Here is a 21,025-nt window from a genome sequence, read left to right as displayed (position 1 = left end):
GAAAAAAAATAAATTCAAGGGTCATTGAGAGGCTGGAAGAGACTTTATGTAGCGGGAGGCCACTCCAGGGCTGGAATAGAGGCAACAACTTTATACCATATACCCTTTAAGTGTTAGGCGAGAAAAATAACCTGTATTTAAATTTGTTATGCAGGAAGTTTCTCTGTCTAGACAGTTAAGATTTCTTCAATATTAGAGTAAGCAATTTGTTAAGAGTATTTCATTTTTATCTAAGCAAAACGTACATATTATGGAAGTATTTGTAAATAGAGTATAAAGAAATAATAAAATTTATTACACGTAGGAAGTAAATATTTAGGAGAAGTGAGAAACTACATTACATTAGTAGTTCCTTAATACAAGTCATGTAAAAATGTATATTTTACGTCATGTTTATTAATGAATAGCAATATAAGATTCGTTCAATAAAGACTTCTCCTTTTATTTGGTATTGAGTTATTACTTTTACAGGACCTGTCTACTAATGCTATTGTCACATTATTCATTGTATAAGGCCTATCTATAATGTTATTGTCACAGAAATATATGGAAAACAGTCTTACAAAATATTGGAAAACCTGTTAGTCAAAAAATTTAATCTTCATACCTAACATTTTTAAAGGCATTGGATATCATATTATCATTATCACCACAAAGTACCTATTATGCTCACTATATAGTGTACTATTTCAGACCATGTTCTGGGTATTTAGTGAGAGAATACCTTTTATAAAAAAGATTTAAATAAGAGCACTCTAAATAGGCCACTTGCAATATAGTTTGAAATATTCCCACACATTTCATAATTAAGTATATAAATATAATTAGATATTTAAAAAATTGGTACTAATTTCTGAAATCAAAATTACAATTAAAGAGCTATATATTTTTTGTTTATAATTCTACCAAGTTGTGAATCAAAGAAACTAAGCTTGAAAACTAGCTCCAACTTATATTTATCATTTTTTGAGCAAATTTTGTGTTTACATGAATAAAGAAATGTTATTTATAATATATAGATAGGATAATATTTATTTTCACTTTTTTGCCAGTAGAATTTTCACATGACATTATAATAGCATCACTTTCTTCATGTATATATTGATGATTCTGTACCAAAAAATAGCATAGAACATACTTTAAAATTTTAATTCTCTAAAAGTAGACAATGGAAAGTGGTTTTTTTGTTTGTTTTTTTGAGACGGAGTCTCGCTCTGTCATCCAGGCTGGAGTGCAGTGGTGCAATCTCGGCTCACTGCAACCTCCACCTCCTGTGTTCAAGCAATTCTCCTGCCTCCGCCTCCCAAGTAGCTGGGACTAGAGGTACAAGGCACCATATCTGGCTAATTTTTTTTGTATTTTAATAGAGACGGGATTTCACTATGTTGCCCAGGCTGGTCTCGAACTCCTGAGCTCAGGCAATCTGCCTGTCTTGGCCTCCCAAAGTGCTAGGATTATAGGCTTGAGCCACTGTGCCCCACCAGAAAGTTTATTTTAAGGAAAAATCCACTAAAGTGAAAAAACTGATTAAGCTTTATAAAGGTCAGAGTTTTGCTAAGAATTACAAAGTAATGCATTCATTTCAAACTATGACTTCAGTTGTTTGAACTTGTACAAATAAGAGAAAATATCACCTTTCTGACATTATATATATGCAGTAGACCAATATTAATTGTACTTTTTATCAGATTAAACAACATTACACATTTTTTAAATCTAAACTTAAAACAAGTAGGAATTTTATTTATGTGATTATTTTTATATTTAAGCAATCAAGTTAAGTGTAGTCTTTAAGAGTATTACAGGCCACATTTTGTAAGTGATACATCATTTCTATGTTAATGTCTCTTGTCTAACTTAAACATTATAAATAACATTTGACTTTTTTCAGATGCAGCAGGAGTTGGAAAAAAATATAACTAGAGAACTCAAAGAAGGTATGTTGCCAAACTTCATGAATTAAATTTAGATTAATTAATTGATTTCTGAAATAAATTGTAAATCGTGAGTGGGATCCCTTTCCATTGTTTGGCTAATAGATACTACATTAAATGTTCTTTCTTACACACATCTAATGAAAGATGTGAAAACATGAATATTCATAGTGAAGAGTATACTTACTTTGTCTCATTAATTCATCATGTTCCATAGCTTTAAAAAAACTCAAGAAATCTTTGCACCTCTTTTTTTTCCGGCTCTACACTTTCTTCACTTCTGCCATCCCCATAGAACTGTAGCCAGCATGCAGAAATTATTCTTAGAAAACAAAGACATCATCAACTTCTCAAGGTTATGGTGGTGATTTAAGGCCCAAAGACCCCAGACTCACTAGTAATATCTAGTCTGGAATTACAGTTCATAAGCAGTTGCTTGACAGGTGACATTTGAAATCTCCAGTCATTTACTTTGTCATTGGTTTCCCTTTGCCCTCAGGAGAAGTTCCAAATTCCTTAGCATGGAATAAAAATACCCACATCAATGTGGTCCTTGTGACGTTATTCAACCTTATTTCTCACCCCTTGCTGTTCTTCGGGCCCCTTTGCTCTGGCATCCAGCCACCCTAGACCACGTGGAATTCCACAGGGAGCTTCCTCAGCTCCAGCTCTTGGCATTTGCTTCTTCCTTCCGTCTGGCATATGTTTTCCTTGTACTTCAGGTATCAGTCTACATATTGCCTCCATCAAAAAGCCTACGTTATTGACTCAGAACTGGGATAGGTGTCCCTTCTGTGTGTTCCAGTAGTGCCCTGTCTTATACCTGTCATGATATCTGTGACTTTGTATGGAAATTGTATGTTTGTCTGTTTTTTTCAGATTATAGCATATGTTTGTTAGAGGTGGATCATATCATCTTCATCTTGTAATTCTAGTGCTTACTTTGCTCATGGTTGTTGAATAAATGAATGAAGAGTGAGAAAGCCAGAAGCTCTGATATTTAACCACAAGGATAATTAATTCAGTGTGCAACCATGGGCAAATTATATTTAATAGTAATATTGTATAATAGTTGTGCATACATATTTTTCTTTCTTATTAATACTGACAAAATTCTCAACTCTTTTACTGACTTCCACTTAGTTAACTATGAAATCTTTTAGGTAAGGAATATAATTCTTTCTTTTTCATTCTAGCTGCTGCTGAATTGGAATCTGGATCAATAGCTTCCCCTCTAGGGTCTACTGATGAGTCAAATCTAAATCAAGATCTAGTTTGGAAAGCATCAAGAGAATATGTACAGGTTTTAAAGAAAAATTATATGATCTGAAAGATAAGATTTTATTACTGGGCTGTTTATGTGACATTTTGTTTCTCATTAAATATTAATATATGACATGTAAAAATATTAAAGGAACGTATTTTTGTATCATATATGTCAGATCAAAATTTATATAGTATTTTAAACAATGTTACTTGGCTTCTTTAACTTTTAAGTGGATTTTGCCAATGAAAACCAGGAATATTGAGTTTTACATACTCAAACTGCCCAAATGTGAGCTGTTTAAACAGCCAAACCACTAAGTTGTCATTAATACTTTAGTGCAGTTAATTGATGGCTTATTTGTATTTTGTAATTTTTATCACTATATGTAGTGGTAGATGTCTAATTGGACTTAGACATCATTTTGTTGTGCAGGAACTGTGGTCATTGTTCATGTTTGGATGTATTACAATTGTTACAGTGCCATCAAATTTACATAATTTTAATTTTAAGCACTGATTTATATAGCTGTTCTCAGGGAGAAACAAGATTTGCCTGATTCACCTTTTCTGTTTGTTTATTTATTTTTAATTAACCTTTTGGAAATAGCCTTCAGTTTAGAGAAAATTTCGAAGTTTTAGTACAAAGACTTTCTCCTCCGAACAATTTGAGAGTAAATTGCTGACATTATGTCATCACCCCTGATTACTTTAGTGGGCATTCCTACAAGTCAGGACATTCTACATAACTACAGTGCAAACCTTGCAATCAGAAAGTCAACATTAATACATTCTAGTTTGTTACTTCTCTGTAATGTCCTTTATAGCAAAAGGATCCCATTCTAATCCATGGCTTGTATTTAGTTGTTGTATCTGTTAGATCTTTCAGTCTGGAACAGTTCCTCAGTCTTTCCTTGACCTTCATGACCTTGAATATTTTGAAGAGTAAAGTCTGGTAATATAAGAATGTCCCTCAATTGGGTTTCATGGTGATTAGATTTAGATTATATGATTTTTTGGCAGGAGTATCACAGAAGTGACCCAGTGATCTTCTCATTGCATCTTACCTGTGACCCTACAGTTTTGATTTGCCCTGTTACTGGTAATGTTAGCATTGATCACTAACAGTGGTATCTGCTGAATTTCTCCTCTGTAATGTTATTTTTTCACCTTGTGGTTAATTAGTATTTTACAGGGAGGTAATTTGAGACTATGTACATATCTCTACTCCCCATCGAACCCTCAATTTATTCATTTGCTTGTATCAAATAAACCATGGATTCATGGTTTATTTTATTCAGTGAGTTATAATTCATTAATATTGTTATTAAAAATTTGTTTTTCTTTTAAGAAATGTTATATTTTGACAACTTCAGACTTACAGAAAGATTATAAGAGGTAGTACAAATAATTTTTGGATATTATTCCCCAAATGTTAACATTTTACTGCATTTACTTTATCCTTTCTCCCCCTTCTCCTCCTGTCTTTCTAGATGAATATGAATATAGGTACTTAATACAGATTTTTTTTCTAAACTGTTTGTAGGTTGCAGACACGATGCCTCTTTATTTCTAAATAATGTGTATTTCCTAAATAAAAGGAATTACCTTACATAACTGTAGTATAATGGTCAAAATCAGGATATTAACACTGGTTCAATGTTAATATCTAATCTATAGACCTTACGCAGATTTTGCCAATTGTCTCCAAAATATCCTTGATAGCCGAGGAAAATTCAAGATGGGGGATTTTCACCAGGTGTGATGTGTTGGTCCAATTGTTCCGTTTCTATAGTCTCCTTTTATCTGGGATAGTTCCTGAGTCTTTCTTTGATTGTAATGACATTTATGTTTTTGGAGAGTATAGGTCAGCTGTTTTGTAGGCGTTCTCTCCATTTTGGTTTGTACAGTGTTTCCTCATGATTAGCTTTAGGTTGTGCCATTCGGGCGGGGCTTTCACACAGGCTGAGTTCTCTGCAATGCAGCATCTGGAGGCATCTGCTGTCACTCACTTCCATTACTGGCCAATGTTGACTTTGATTATTTGATTTGTTGAAATAATCAAAGTCAACATCCTGCCATGTTTGTCCATGGTTAAGCTACTATATACTTTGTATTTCATAAATATCTTGTATAAAGATACTTTGAGGCTTTGTAAATATCTGGCTACTACTCAGAACTTCACCCACAAGATAAAGCATTTCATTGGTGATTTGTGCTTGAATCAATTATTATTATGATGGTTGCCAAATGATGACTTTCTTATTCCTTCATCCCTTCTATATTGATAAATAGAACAAAATCAGTGAACAAATAGGGGGAGAAGGGAAAGCTTACTAATTTGGTGTTCAGATGCCCCCTGGACTTGGCCAGTAGTAGCCATTTCAAGCTGACTTTGTGTCCTTCTGACCTGTCCCCCTTATTCTTTGAGCACTTCAAGGGTCAACTGTATTTTTAACTTCCTTTTCTGACAGCAACCTGGCTCCCTTCATCCTGAATATATATTAAGTACTCATTTAATGCCGTCGATAGGCTTTGGAATCTGACTGTAAGTGAAATGACATATAACAGAACCAATTTGGCATAGGCTAAATGATACAAATAAAACATAACGTTCCTATGACATATTGTTGGTCACAAAAACATCACTAATCTTCTAAGTAAAGACCCCAAAACATGAATACTAAACATTGAAATAAATGTGAGCTCTACATATATTAGGAAAGATTAATTTAAAAAATTAAGATACTACCCAATTTTGGGTGCGTCAGTGAGTGATAGTGGTTGTAGTGGTGGTGCTGTGTTAAATCAAGGAATAAATGTTGCAAAGTGAAAAAATTGTCAGGAGCACCTGCTGCCATCATGCAGCTATTTGAACACTATTTTTGTGTTCAAAAATAGTCACAAATATGGCAGGCTCATGGAGCACTTTCATACCACATAATTGTGTACCACAGCATTTGTGTTATGACCATAGACCCTACAACATTTTATTTTATAGTAATTTGCATTCATTCATTCCTTTCTTAACCTGCTTATCCCAGTTCAGGGTCACACATGGTCAGAGCCTCTCCTGCACTTAAGGGTGCAGGGTGGGAACCAGCCCTGGACAGGACATATCCCATTGCAGGGCCACTCACATACACCCACCCTCACTCTAACTGGGACCATGTCATGACGTCAGCACATCAGATAACCTAACATGCCCAGCTTTGGGATGTAGGAGGAAACCAGAATACCTGGAGGAAACCCACGCAGACAAGGGGAGAACGTGCAAACTCCACCCAGATGGGGCCCCAGTTGGGAATTCTTTCTCTCCTCAGCATGACAATGAAATGATGTTGTTCAAGAATCTGCTGTATTTACTGATTTGTTCAATCCTCTTGTGTGTAACCAGTCTCTTGTGTCCCGGCCCCTAAGCAGCTGTGCTTCCCACTCCCCCTTGGACTCCAGCACCCTTTATCAGGTTGCCTTCACCACTTTCCTCCCAAGCTGATGCTGTCTTCACCCCATCCTTTCCCAGACACCCTGTGCCAGGCCACCCTCTTATGCTGATGCTTCTGCCTCAGGTGCTGAAAACCCACGTGGGACTATCCTTTCCCCCGTATGGTTGCCTCCTGACTCTGTTCATCTTTGATACCTCATTCTATCCCATCTACTTTTCAGGAGTGCCCTTACTTGACCTCCAACCCTGTAGAGGGTGACACTCCTGATACAGGAGATAGAAAGAAATTATTTAGGCAGATAGCAAGGGTAAAAGAGTCCTTGGCAAAATTTCCCTTTTAACAAAAAGCAGGCCCCAAATCATTTCTTTTCTAACAAGGAGCAGCCTGAAAAATCGAGCTGCTGACATAGATAAGCAAGCTGAAACCTTGCATGGGTGAATGCCGGAAATTGTGCCAATAGAAAAGGGCTACCTCAGGGCTGGGGATGTTCAACATGGAGGCTTCATCTTCCCTATTCTTTGTACAGTAAAGGAACAGGCAACATGGCACTGGCCAGGCAGAGAACCCATCTGCATAATAAAAGATTAGGGTGGGGGCGGCCAGATTTTCTGCACTATGCAAATGGCACACCTAGCCCTAACCAGTTTTTTGCACCTTATACAAATAGCATACCTGGTCTAACCAATCTTTTGTGCCCTATGTAAATCAGACACCACCACCTCAAGTTCATCTATAAAACCCTGTGCATTTCACCACGGACTGGAAGACCCGCCCAGGACCCTCTCTCTGCAGGGGAGAGCTTTTCTTTCTCTCACCTATTAAACCTCTGCTCTTAGCCTCACCCCTTGTGTGTCCGCATCCTTGATTTCTTTGGCATGAGACAATGAACCTCAGATATTACTCCATCAGTGATGCTGCTTCACTCCCACGCTTAGGCCCTTCTCATTTTATCCAGACTCCAGCCCCTAACTCTGGGCCACCACAACTCTAATTTTGTTTCCAGGCTTAGTCCCCATACTTTTGAACCGAAATGTTCAGGAAGAGAAAGGAGAATAGGACTCCATATACCATTTATAATCAACATGCCGAGCTCTACAAAGCAAGCATTTTTTATTGGAATTGCATTGAATCTATAATTTGGGGAGAAAAGACATTTAGAATATTGAGTTATTCTGTCTTTTGTTTGTTTGTTTGTTTGTTTTTGAGACAGAGTCTCGCTCTGTTGCCCAGGCTGTAGTGCAGTGGCGTGATCTTGGCTCACTGCAAGCTCCGCCTCCTGGGTTCACGCCATCCTCCTGCCTCAGCCTCCCCAGTAGCTGGGATTACAGGTGCCGCCACCATGCCTGGCTAATTTTGATTTTGCATTTTTAGTAGAAACGAGGTTTCATCACATTAGCCAGGATGGTCTCGATCTCCTGACCTCAGGTGATCCACCTGCCTCGGCCTCCCAAAGTGCTGGGATTACAGGTGTGAGCCACCGTGCCTGGCCTATTCTGTCTTGTTAACTTATAGAGATCTTGCATATATACATTTTTAGATTTATTCCCAGTTATTTGATACTTTTGATTCTATTATGTTACCTTCCTTACATTTTATTTCCTGTTTCTTATAGAAGTAAAATCTGTATTTTATGTATTAAACTTGGATTCAGCTATCTTGCTAAATTCATATTTTTTATTTGAGTATTTTATCTGTAGAGTCTTGGATTTCCCATATACACACAAAAAATATCTGTAATAGTGACAGTATTGTATCCTTTCCAATTCCTGGAGTTTTTGTTTTTCTTTCCTACTTCAAGAATGATGTTGAATAAAAGGGGAAACAGTAGGCATCCACATTTTGTTGAAATTGCAAAGGGGAAACAATATTTTTCAATAAGTATGTAGATGGCAGGCTTTTGTTTTTATGATGAATATTCTTCATTATTGTATAGGTTTCCTATTGCTGCATAATAGGCCATCACAAACTTAGCATCTTAAAATCACACACACTTATCTCTCGGTTTCTGTGGGTCAGGAGTTCAGGCATGGTCTATCTGGGTCCTCTGCCCAGGGTCTCACAAAGCAATTGTAAGATCTGAGGTTTATTTTGCTGTAAAAAACTTTTTTCCTGTGAGTTTCAGCTGGTTTCCATCAGGGAAGCTGAGCTTGTCTGCTTCTGTGTGGGCGGAGGGTCATCTTCAATCTGGGCCCCATTGCTAGGTAAGGAGCTGAGCTGGGAGTTTGTCTTGCAAATTCTCTATAATGACTAAAAGTTTTAACAACCAGCTGGTCTTAATTTCTACTTACAATTCGAGTTCTCAGAAATTGTATAATTTGTGTGATCATTGTTTTGCTTAGCTGGTTTTGCTTGTTTGTTTCTGTCTTCTTGGGATTTTGTTGGGTTTTTTTTTTTTTTTTTTTTGGTTGGTTTTGGTCTCAAACCTATCAGATTTGATGAATTCTGAACCCCTCTAGCCTATGAGTGTGGAATTTTCACTCCAAAGGAAAAAAGAGCACCATGCTTTTCTCAGCCTTTCAGGGCATTCTCATGTGACTGAGAATCATGTGAAGGTGTCTGGGAGGAATGCCTCCTAAGAGCAGCAGTGGCTCCAATGAGGTTTCTCCTTCAGGAGAACATAACTAGGGACTATTTTCACCTGGCAGGTGCATATAAGGAGCTGACCCCTCCCACATCTTAAGCCCCTGACATATTGTGCCAGGTAGTTGTGACACAGGTGGACCGAACCAGTTCAGAGAGTAATTGCCCTGGAAAGCTAGGTCCACAAGCAGCACACTTTGGGTCTGACACACTCACTGACTTAATAATATCTGAAGGAGAACCCTAACTATAGGAAACGAGGCCTCTACATTGGCTAAAATCCCAGCAGCTGCGCAACAAAAAGTTACAACCTTAGAAACTCTGGCTGGGTATTTGCAAAATGCTTATGGCGAATTGTCATGCAAATATTTAGTCAAATGGACAACTATAACTGAAGCAGACTCTAAGTTACAATGGCCTAGATGGGGATCTTCTGAGATGCCCATATTAGTGCACCTGTGAACTAGAACAGAAAAGGCATGCACAAAAACTAAACAGCCAGAATGGGAGAGTTGCTTTGAGTGATATCTGGAGAGGAGCAAAATGGGGGAAGATTGCCTCATCTCCTTACAGGAGGCCAAGAAACAATTTAGAGATGCTGAGAACCCTCTAGTGCTTTATCTCAGAGAAATCTTCAGAATCACTTACTTCCTCTTGGTGCCTCCCCCACCTCCACGTATACCGCTACTTTATCCCGACCTCTTTGAACTTCCTGGACCAGATCTGTTCCCTCCTCCTGCGTGCTCCATTCTCCATTCTACCATCTTCCCCTCCTCGACTGCTACTCACTCAACAGAAGGCAGCTGGGGATCTAACTTCCAAGACTCTATCTCCTGCTGATTCTCTGACAGCCCCAATGGCACCCTCTCATCTGGAAGATGGGAAAAGGGGGACCCTATAGGGACATCTCTCATGATTGCCCTGGTTTGAAAACAACCAATAATAGAGGAACCCCAGCGTTTGTCTATCAATTCTGGTCAAAGGCTGAGCTGCGAAGCACAGTTATAGAATTTCCTGACTTCCATAAAGATCCAATTGGGTTTGCCCACGAATTTGAGCTCATTATCAGAACCTATGACCCAGGTCATTCAGACCTTTACCAGCTGGTACACATACTTGTTTCAGAGGCTAAAGCTAAGAGATGGCTAGAAAAATCACAGAGGTCAGACCCGTTAGCAGACTTAATCCTCAAAGGCCCAATAGAATGACAACAATCAGCCCCCAAAAGTCCAGAAGACAGGCTCAAAGATGCCTGGGAGCGAGCACCTTCTCTGCTAAATGTCATTCCCTCAGTGTTCCAAAGGGTTGTGGATTGAATAAAATCTAGCAGTGCCACCAGAACCCAAAAGAATCAGATTAGATCATTTTACATGTTTTAATAAAACTTTGCAACAGTATTGCAAGATGTCAGCTGATTGCTTTGAAAACAGTAAAAATGATACATTATTAAATGCAAACTTTTAAAACAGACCAGATGACGATTTAGCCACCCTAGTAAATTGGGTCATGGCCAGGACTAATAAACTAGTTACCTTAGCTGACCAGTTATCCTGGGCTATGATAAAAAAGAAAAAACAAGACTGCCCAGTTATACATCTACAGTTAAAGCAATTTGTTGGGGTAATCAGACCCAACACCAGGCCGTGGGGGCTATGAAGTCCGGCAGAGTCAAAGGAATGAGAAAAGACGAGAGAAAGTGGGACCAGGGGGCCGACGCTAGTATGGATGCTGTGAAGGCCCCAAGCTCTGGGAGCCCATGCTATTTATCAGTGATCAAACAAAGAAACAAGTGGTGAGGATGTGGGGGTTGAAAGGAAGCAGTGCATCAAGCAAACAAGCCACAGCTGTGGCGGTTTAGCATTTTCTCCGAAACACATGGCTACCTGAGACAATGGGAGTGCTAGAAGCAAGAAGCCAGCAAGTCCAGACACATTCCAAAGGCCACGAGGGATTTTAGACCCTGGACCCCGGACATGTTCCAAGCCCTGCCTCAGCTTCTCTCCCAACACTCAGCTTTTCTCCCAACACAATTAACTTCTCAAACCTCTCAGTCTCAGAAAAATGTTAAACCGCCTCAGAGGACTCTTCCCTCAGCCTGTTACTACTGTAAAAGACTGGGACACTTGAAACGGGACTGCTTTAGGCTGAAATGGAAGCCACAGCAGGAGGATACAACTCAGGAAGACCAGGGGTGCTCTGAGGAAGTTAAAGTGTTTCACCTCTCCTAGTATTCTACCTTGACAAAACAAATTGGGAGAGATTAATATAATCATTAACCATCCTTGACACAGGAGCAGCCATATCTGTTATAAATCCCACCTTGTTTAGAAATCCCATTTCTCAGAGTAATGAAAGGATTAGCATCATGGGTGTATCTAGAAAAACTATCTCAGGTTTTAAATCAAAACCTATACCTTACAGTTTTGTCAGGTTTGGTGCCCTACCAACCAAGGGCCCTAAATGTGACCCACTCAGTCTGTCCCACATGTTCCTAATATGCCCTGAGATCCCTTTCAATCTTTTGGGCCACAATCTCCTCAACATCCATAATGACCGTATATTTTTTTTTATCAAAAGGTGGATTTTTTTTGGAATATGAGCCAGGAGACAAAACAAAAACAACCCAAAACAAACAAAACAAGAAATTAGAGAAACATCCTGACAATGTACCATAGTTTAGTACTAGTAATGTTAAAATATCATCTTGTGTCTGGGAAATAAACTAAAGACAGAAAAAGGAAACATTAGCGGAGAAGAGAGAAAAGTGAAATAAAAGGCAAGGAGCCGTAAACCTCCCTTTAGCCTCCCCAGTTTTCCTGTAACCCCAGAAGTGGAACATTTGGTTAAGGCCATCCTCTCCCACTTATGGTCACAGTCAAATACAGACACAGGAAAAATATTCCTAAAGATACTGCTCCCCAACATTGTATAGTATCCTTCTTGACAGTAAGACATAGATGGAATTGTCCCTATCATACAAGATTATCTCATTATTCCCTGTACCAAGCCCTACAACACCCCTGTATTCCCTGTAGAAAAACCAAATGGTAGAGAATGAAGACTCTTTTTCTTGAGATGGAGTCTTGCTCTGTTGCTAGGCTGGAGTGCAGTGGCGCAATCTCAGCTCGCTGCAACCTCTGACTCCGTGGTTCAAGTGATTCTTCTGCCTCAGCCTCCTGAGTAGCTGTGATTACAGGCATGAGCCACCACGCCCAACTGATTTTTGTATTTTTAGTAGAGATGGGTTTTCACCATGTTGGCCAGGATGGTCTTGATCTCCTGACCTTGTGATCCTCCTGCCTTGGCCTCCCAAAGTGCTGGGATTACAGGCATGAGCCACTGTGCCCGGCCTTTTTTTTTCTCACTATATTTCCCAGGCTGGTTTCAAACTCCTGGTCTCAAGATATTCTCTCTTCTTGATCTCCCAAAGTGCTGGGATTAGTTATGAACCACCATGCCTGGGCTGAGGGTGGAGATTTGTACAGAATTTGAGAGCAGTAAACAATATCATAATATTTAGACACTCACATACCCTTCTATCAGCTGTACCCACTCCCAGTCAGTATTTCTCAGTTGTGCATCTACAGTGCCTTCTCAAGAATTCCTGTAGATCCACACAGCCAATAGTTGTTTGCCTTCACCTGGAGAGAATGGCAATATACATGATATACGTGGACTGTAATGCCTAAAGGGTGCACAGAAAGTCCCACTTATTTTTCCCAAATATTAAAGGCCGATTTAGAGGACCCAATTTTTCCCCAGGACTCAGTGCTCATCCAATACGTGGATGACATTCTCCTTGGGTTAGACACACTCTCTTCCCCTCAGGAAGATATTTCATATTTACTCACACAATTAGCCAATAAGGGACAAGGTGTCTCAAGATGAATGTCAACTGTGTTCACCCCAAGTCAAATATTTGGGGGCATATTATCTGAGTCCAAGGACTGAGCATTAACCCTGATAGAGTGAGCGTAGTTTAACTTTCCCCATGACCATCACTAAAAATCAACGTTTAAAGGGTTTTCAGGGCTGGCTGGCTATTGTAGGAACTGGATACCATATTTCTCCCTTGCCCACCAACTTCTGTGCATACCTATGAAGTGAATGGTCTGATCTCTTTTCTCTGCCTTCCTTTTTTTAGCATATGAAAGTGGAGGAATTGCATCTGGGGTAATGACCCAGTAACATCATGACCATCAGAGAACTGTAGGCTATTATGGCAACAGTTAGACCCTGTAGCTCAAGGGCTGCCTCACTGTATGAGAGCAACATCAGCCACTTCCCTTCTATACAAGTCTGTTGAAGAAATAATCATGGGTTCCCTTCCTACTGTTTGTGTACCGCATTCTCTTGAGACCCTTCTAAACTCTCATCATAACTCAACACCTGTCAATAGGTTAACCTCCGTGAAGTTTTGCTTTTATCTCCAAATATTATCATATCCCAGTGTAATTACCTTAATCCTGCCACTCTATTCCAGGGACCTTCTGATGAAACCCCTCATGACTATGTTCTGATGACTGACCAATGTCTCACTTCCAGGACAGACCTGCAATAGATGCCACTGGATAATGCTGAGATAGACTGGTATGCAGATGGGTCTGATTTAAGAGGGGAGCATGGAAATGTTAGAGCAGGATATGCTGTGATTTCCTTATTAGAGGTAATTGAAGCCAGTCCTCTTCCCCAAGGCAGATCAGCTGAAGTAGCCAAGTTGATTTCCCTGACCCGAGCTTTTCAATTGGCGAGCTCTATGTTCACAAGGTTGTGAACATAGGCCCTGACAGCTGCTCTGCATTTGGGTTTGCTCATGACTTTGGGATGCTACAGAAGGAGAGAAGATATTTAACCTTCTCGGGGCAACCCATAAAAAATGACCAACAAGCATCAGAGCTGTTAGAAACCATTCTAAAACCAGAACTTCTGGCAATTATAAAAATCCCAGGTCACTCTAAATTGGACACCACTGAAAGCAGGGTAACCAATCTGCTGATGCTACAGCTAAAAGAGCAGTATTTGAGCCACCAGCCCCCATCTGGGGAATGGCCATAAAACCTGAAACACTTAAAAACATGTTGAAGAAAACCCAGAGCATAGCCCAAACGAGAGGGAAATCTACTTGGAAACAGAAAGGGGGATACCTGTCTCTGCAAACTGAAATATGATGTGAACCTAATAATAAACCCATTATTCCAATGGGATGTCAGATGCCCCTTATGGAATATGTTCATCATCAGACCCATTGGAATCCAGAGAAAATGATATCCTGGTGTAAACAATATTATTGGAAACTGTCATTCCTGGTGGCACAAAAGGTTTACTCCTGATCTGTTTTTTGTTGCCAAAATAAGCCAGGGAAGCCCTTCTATGGGGCCAAGGGTCATTTTCCCCTTCTAGCTGGACCTTTTGAGGTTTGGCAGCTTGATTTTAGCCATAACATTTTATCCACAAATTTAGAGGATCTTCACACAGGACTGGAGAGAGCTGCTGTGGAGAGCTTTAACCCAAGACACCAGCCCAGACCTGTATACAAAAGAATGCCTATATTTAGTGTATGATAGCCATTACAATGATTGTCCTAGAGATACTGGCAATTGCTGTGTTATGCAGAACCAGGCACCAGCCTTGTCTGATTTAATATCCTTTTAGTAGTTAAAATGAATTTCACAACCTTGTTTCTGTTTATCCTCTGTCCCTGTGCCTTGCCACTGCCACCCACTGTGGCCCATGAAACAAACCTGTTTCTACAATGGGCTCAGGATTATGCAGACAGATTATAAAAAGATGCCTCCTGGATATGCAGACTCATGCCTCTTTCCAATGGCTCCAGCCTTCCATGTTGGGTATCTCCTTTCTATGGTCAGGACTGGATAGAATACCAAAAATGTATTACATCACAGAAATGGTCTGGTATCCTCAGTGCTGGTGTAAGAAAATACAATATATATAATTAGCCCATTGAAAATACACTTAAGAGCAAGGCACATGGGAAAAGGTTTTCAGAGGAAAGGTCCAGCTCAGCAACCCTCACCTTAGTCCCCTCTCTGCAACTAATAGAGAAGTTGGTAACCACACCCCAAGTAACTGCTGAATTTCAAGATGAGATACTGCAAAATTTGTGATTAGTTTAACTGAATCACCCCTTTATTAGGCCAACTCAGCCAGAATGCTCCTTTATTCTGCAAAGAAAGAAACCACACAAAGGGCCAATGGTGAAACAGTCCAGGAGATATGGGGTGGATACCTGGAAAGCATTGTGACCACATTATTACGTTACAAGGCACTGGCATGACACCTATTGGGTACAGTGACCAGATATTAATTGGCTAGCAGTAAATGGGACATATTGGCTATGTTGCTTTAACTTATGGCCTTGATTACCCCCAGGATGGTTAAGATGATGTTCCCTAGATTAAGCTTGGGCACGAGGATGAGTAATTCAGACCCTGCCAAACTAGCAACGCTTTTTCACTTACAGTCTTGCTGGACACGTTCTGTATTCCAATGGTATGATCACTTAGCTTCTGTCTTTGTACCATAAATAGCTATTGAACGTGTTATATGGCATACAGAGGCCTTAACAAATTATACCCAAAAGGTCCTAAATGATAGACACATGAGTATCTCTTTGCTAAACAATGAAGTCTTACTAATGAGGAAAGCTGTGCTGCAAAACCATATGGCCTTAGATATACTCACAGCAGCCCAAAGCGGAACCCGTGCCATCATAAAAACTCAATGTTGTATTTATATTCCAGATACATCAAATAATATAACTTAACTTATGGCTGATATGAAAACCCAGATAACCAACCTGTCAGATCTAAAACCCTTGGTAATTGACTGGTTGAGTGGTTGGTTTGGATCCTGGGGAACTTGTGGCAGAAGATATTGCTCATAATAGGAATAATAATAATAATTAGTGTTCTGCCATGCTTTTGCTTACAATGTTGTAATAGTATATTCTTGCAAGTAAGTCAACATGCAACCAAAAAGGCTAGAGTAATAGTTGTCCAAAGAACTGCTCTAATTGAGGAGGCAGTAGCATAGCCTGAACCAGCTTCTAGGTTTGCTTTCCATTTTGCTGTAAATCTGGGAAAGTCTCTCTCTTTTTCTCTCTGTGTGTGTGTGTGTGTGTGTGTGTGTGTGTGTGTGTGTACGTGTGTGTATTTTATCTTTCTTTTTTACGTATCATATTTTATCTCCATGAAACATGACCTTAGGAATAAGCCTTCCAAGTAATGTGGGACCTGAACATCCTGGCGACAAGGGACAAGCTCAAAAAAGAAAAAAGAAAAAACCTGAAACCAGAGACTTATTTACCTCTAAAATTCTTTCTCCATAAGATTTTAAAGAAAAAATGGGAGGAAAATGTAAGAGGAAAAGAAATCTTGGGACCTCAAACTCATAAAGCCAAAAGAAAAATAAAGCGAAGAATTAGATCAGGCAATCCTGCCTCCCATTTGCTTCCTAAATAAGATGGCTGCAAAGATAAAAAAGTTACATACCTCCCTCACAATTTGCCCACAAGGAGATTCTTTTATGGGCCCCAAGATCTTTACCCTAAAACAGTTATGTGGAATTTCACTCTGGCAATGTAAATTGATAGCTTATCTTCGCAGGTGCAGGACAAAGGACAGAACTCAAAGTCATCCCTCTGCTGACCTGAGACAAATGTGTATCTGAGTGCTTCCTCCGCCCTATTGTCTATGTCATTTTTTGTTAAAATGCATAAAGTACTGATGTCTTCAGCAAGCCAGATGAAGTCATGAGTGTCTATTTCCTCTGCCTCCCTCACACATGAAAATTGTGTATTCAGTGAAAGGCTGATCAAAGGCTCAATAGGATGCAACCATTTTGTCTTTTTATCTACTGAGACACGTTTTAAAAATATTTCTTTGGTTCACACCCGTAATCCCAGCACTTTGGGAGGGCGAGGCAGGTGGATCACCTGAGGTGGGGAGTTCGAGACCAGCCTGACCAAAAAGGAGAACCTCGTCTTTACTAAAAATACAAAATTAGCTGGGCATGGTGGCGCATGCCTGTAATCTCAGCTACTCGGGAGGCTAAGGCAGGAGAATCACTTGAACCTGGGAGGCAGAGGTTGCAGTTGCAGTGAGCCAAGATCGTGCCATTGCACTCCAGCCTGAGCAACAAGAGTGAAACTCCGTCTCAAAAAAAAAAAAAATTACCTTCCTTCAATATCTACCCTTTCCCTTTTAAATATTGAAGCCCTCAAAATCATCTTTGGAGAAAAGCATAGACCTGTCTCCTGGGCACACATCCTTAATTTTGGCAAATAAACCTCCTACAATGACCGAGAGTTGCCGTGGTCATTTTCTTTTATTTACATCTAGCAACCACGAAGGGATTCCTGAATGAAGGTGGCCCAGGCCTGCAGCAACTCTCCTATTGGTGCTTGGTACTGGCTTGGGCTGTGTTTATCACCCTAAACGATGGGACGATTTGCTGAGGTCTGGGACCTCCTTCCTCCAGGGATCCCTGACCTCCCCAATTTTGTTGTTTAGTTGAGGGGGAGGGTCTGAGGTTTATTTTGCTATAAAAAAACAAACTCCTTTTCCTGGGAGTTTCAGCTGGCTTCCATCAAGGAAGTCGAGCTTGTCTGCTTCTGCGCAGGCAGAGAGTGGTCTTTAGCCTGGTCCCCATTATTAGGTAAGGAGCTGAGTTGGGATTTTGTCTTGCTAATTCTCTTTAATGACTAAACGTTAGTTTATTCTTCATTTCTCCTTACAATTAAAGTGCTCAGAAAGCATAATTGGTGTGATCAGTGTTTATTTTGCTGATCTGTTTTTGCTTGTTTTGTTAAGGTTTTTAATTTGGTATGTTTTTATCTTTCTTCTATCATATTTGACCAAGTCTAAATCCCTGTAGCCTATGAGTGTAAAATTTCCACTCTGGAGACAAGAAGAGCATCTTGCTCCTCTCAGTCTTTCTGGACATTCTCATGTGTCTGAGATCATGTGAGGGTGTCTGGGAGGAATACTCCATAGACATGGCTCGGATTAGGTTTCCCCCTTATAAGAACATACTTAGGGTCTATTCTCAGCTTGTAGGTGCATATAAGGAACTGACCTCTCCTGCACCTTAAGCCCTTGACACACTGTGCCAGGTAGCAGTGATATGGGTGGACCAAACTGGTTCAAGAACTAATGGCCCTGAAAATCTAGGTCAACAAGCAGCACACTTTGGGTGTGATACACTCCCCAACTTGTTTAAATTTAGTTTTCCTTTTTTTCTACACTTGGTTAAATCTTAAAGAGAACTCTAAGTTAGGAGGAATGAGGCCTCTAAGTTCGCCAAAGCCCCCACACAGCTGTGGAACATAAGTTTCATCCTTAGAAACTCTGGCTGGGTATTTGCAAAATACTTCTAGTGAATTGCCATGCACATATTTAGTCAAGTGGACAACTATAACCAAAGCAGACTCTAAGTTACAATGGCCTAGAAGGGAATCTTCTGAGATGCCCATATTAGTGCACCTGGGAACTAGGATGGAAAATGCATGCACAAAAACTCAACAGCCAGAATGGGAGAGCTACTTTCAATGGTACCTAGAGAGTAGCAAAATGGGGGAAGACTACCTCACTTCCTTACAGGAGGCCAACAAACAACTTAGATATGCTAACCGAGAACTCTCTAGCACTTGATCACTCTTAAAGAAATCTTCAGAATTGCTTACTTCCCCCTTGGTGCTTCCTTCACCTCCATTTACACCCCCACTTTACCCCGCCTCCTCTGAACTTCCTGGACAAGATCTGTTCCTTCCTTCTCTTGCATGCTCCAGGCTACCATCTTCCCCTCGTCCTCATCTGCTGCTCATTCAACAGAAGGCAGCAGGAGGTCTAACCTCCAAGACCCTACCTCCTGATGATTCCATGACAGCCCCCGTGGCAGCCTCTCATCAGGAAGATGGGAAAAGGGGGACCCTGCAAGGACACCCCTCATGATTGCCCATTTAGGGAACAATCAGTAACAGGTAGGGGAACCCCAGCAATTGTCTGTCAACCCTGGTCAAAGGTTGAGTTGCGAAGCATAAAGAATTTACTGTTCCCAGGGCTCTAAATGTGACCCACTTGGTAGGTCTCACATGTTCCTAATATGTCCTGGGAACCCTGTCAATCTTTTGGGCTGCAATCTTCTCAACATCCTTAATGCCCATAAGTCTTTTTCATCAAAGGTGAATCTTTTTGGAATTGGAGCCAGGAGACCAAAAATAACAAATTTTAAAAAGTCTTGACAATTTACCATGATTTAGTAATGTTAAAACATCATCTTGTGACTGAGAAAATGAACTAGAGACAGCCAAGAAAATGTTAGAGGAGAAAAGAGAAAAATGGAATAAAAGGCAGGGAACTGTATGATTCCCTTTAGTCCCCCCCAAAATTCATATTAACCCTAAAAGGGGAACATTTGCTTAAGGCCATCCTCACCCACTTATGGTCCAAGTCAAAGACAGACTTAGAAAAAATATTCTCAGCCACTCCAATAGATGTTGAGATAAACAGAAAAAAAAATATCTTGCCCGATATTAATACCCTCTCAGAAAGGAAGCCATAGATGGAATTGTCCCTATCATAGAAGATTATCTCAAAAGGGGGCTGTGTCCTCATTATTTCCTGTACCATCCCCTGCAACACTCCCCTTCCCCACCACCATATTCTTTGTAGAAAAAACAAACAGGAGAAGATAAAAACGAACAGGAGAAGATACATTTTTTTTTTTTTTTTGAGAAGAGGTCTCACTATGTTGCCTAGGCTGGTCTTGAACTCCTGAGCTCAAGTGATCTTCCTACCTTGGCCTTCCCAAATGCTGGGTCTATAGGTGTGAGCCATCATGCCCGGCTTGAGTATGGAGATTTATACAGGATCTGAGAGCAGTAAACAATAGCATAATATTTAGACACTCACATACCCTTCTATCAGCTGTACCCACTCCCAGCCAGTATTTCTCAGTTGTGCATCTGCAGTGCCTTCTTTAGTATTCCTGTAGATCCACACAGCCAATATTTGTTTGCCTTCACCTGAAGAGAATGGCAATCTACATGATATACGTGGACTGTAATGCCTCAAAGGTGCGTGGAAAGTCCCACTTATTTTTCTGAAATATTAAAGTGTGATTTAGAGGACTCAATTTTTCCCTGAGGCTCTATGCTTATCCAATAAGTGGATGGCATTCTCTTTGGGTCAGACACACTCTCTTCCTCTCAGGAATATATTTCATATTTACTCAAACTATAAGCCAGTAAGAGACAAAGTGTCCCAAGATAAACTTCAGCTGTGCTCACCCCAAGTTAAGAATTTGGGGGCATATTATCTCCATCAAAGAACTGAGTATTAACCCTAGTAGAGTGAGAGAAATTTTAGCTTTCCCAATGTCCATCACTAAGAAACAACATAGAGGGTTTGTGGGGCTGGCTGGCTATTGTAGGAACTGCACACCAGATTTCACCCTTATGGCTCAACCTCTGTATGCATACCTAAAAGATGAACAGTCTGATCCCATCATGTTTACTCCAGAGGGACAATCAGCTGTGCAACAAATAAAGGAAAGTTTCAAAATGCCCCAGGCTTAGGGCACCCTAACTACAAATTGCCTTTCTCCCTATTCATACACAAAAGTGGAGAAACGGCACCTGGGCTACTGACCAGAAACCTAGTGATCACCAGATAACTATAGGGTATTACAGCCAACAGCTAGACCTTGTGGCCTTACCTCACTGTGTGAGAGCTGTATCAGGCACTTCCATTCTGTAGAAGTCTGTTGAAGATATTATTACGT

At 40.2% G+C, this 21,025-nt stretch overlaps 1 protein-coding gene across 17 annotated transcripts in view; it reads left to right on the top strand.

The window, feature by feature from the left end:
* Positions 1 to 21,025, top strand: part of ANKRD26 (ankyrin repeat domain containing 26) — a 152,913-nt gene that overhangs the window by 91,641 nt on the left and 40,247 nt on the right. For 6 of the 17 annotated variants that reach the window (XM_047424827.1, NM_001256053.2, NM_014915.3 and 3 more), the window contains 2 exons: positions 1,892 to 1,937; positions 3,131 to 4,738. In XM_047424827.1, coding sequence (XP_047280783.1) covers positions 1,892 to 1,937; positions 3,131 to 3,264 — 180 coding nt within the window. In that variant the 3' untranslated portion in view covers positions 3,265 to 4,738. Of the gene's footprint in view, positions 1 to 1,891; positions 1,938 to 3,130; positions 4,739 to 13,706; positions 16,986 to 21,025 lie in introns of those variants that run through there. The other 11 variants (XM_017015929.2, XM_047424821.1, XM_017015928.2 and 8 more) reach the window with 3 other exon arrangements.

This window comes from Homo sapiens, chromosome 10 (genome assembly GCF_000001405.40).
Source record: "Homo sapiens chromosome 10, GRCh38.p14 Primary Assembly".
Classification (NCBI taxonomy): domain Eukaryota; kingdom Metazoa; phylum Chordata; class Mammalia; order Primates; family Hominidae; genus Homo; species Homo sapiens.
Note: the sequence above shows the minus strand (reverse complement) of the source record. Positions and strands in the feature narration are given on the sequence as shown.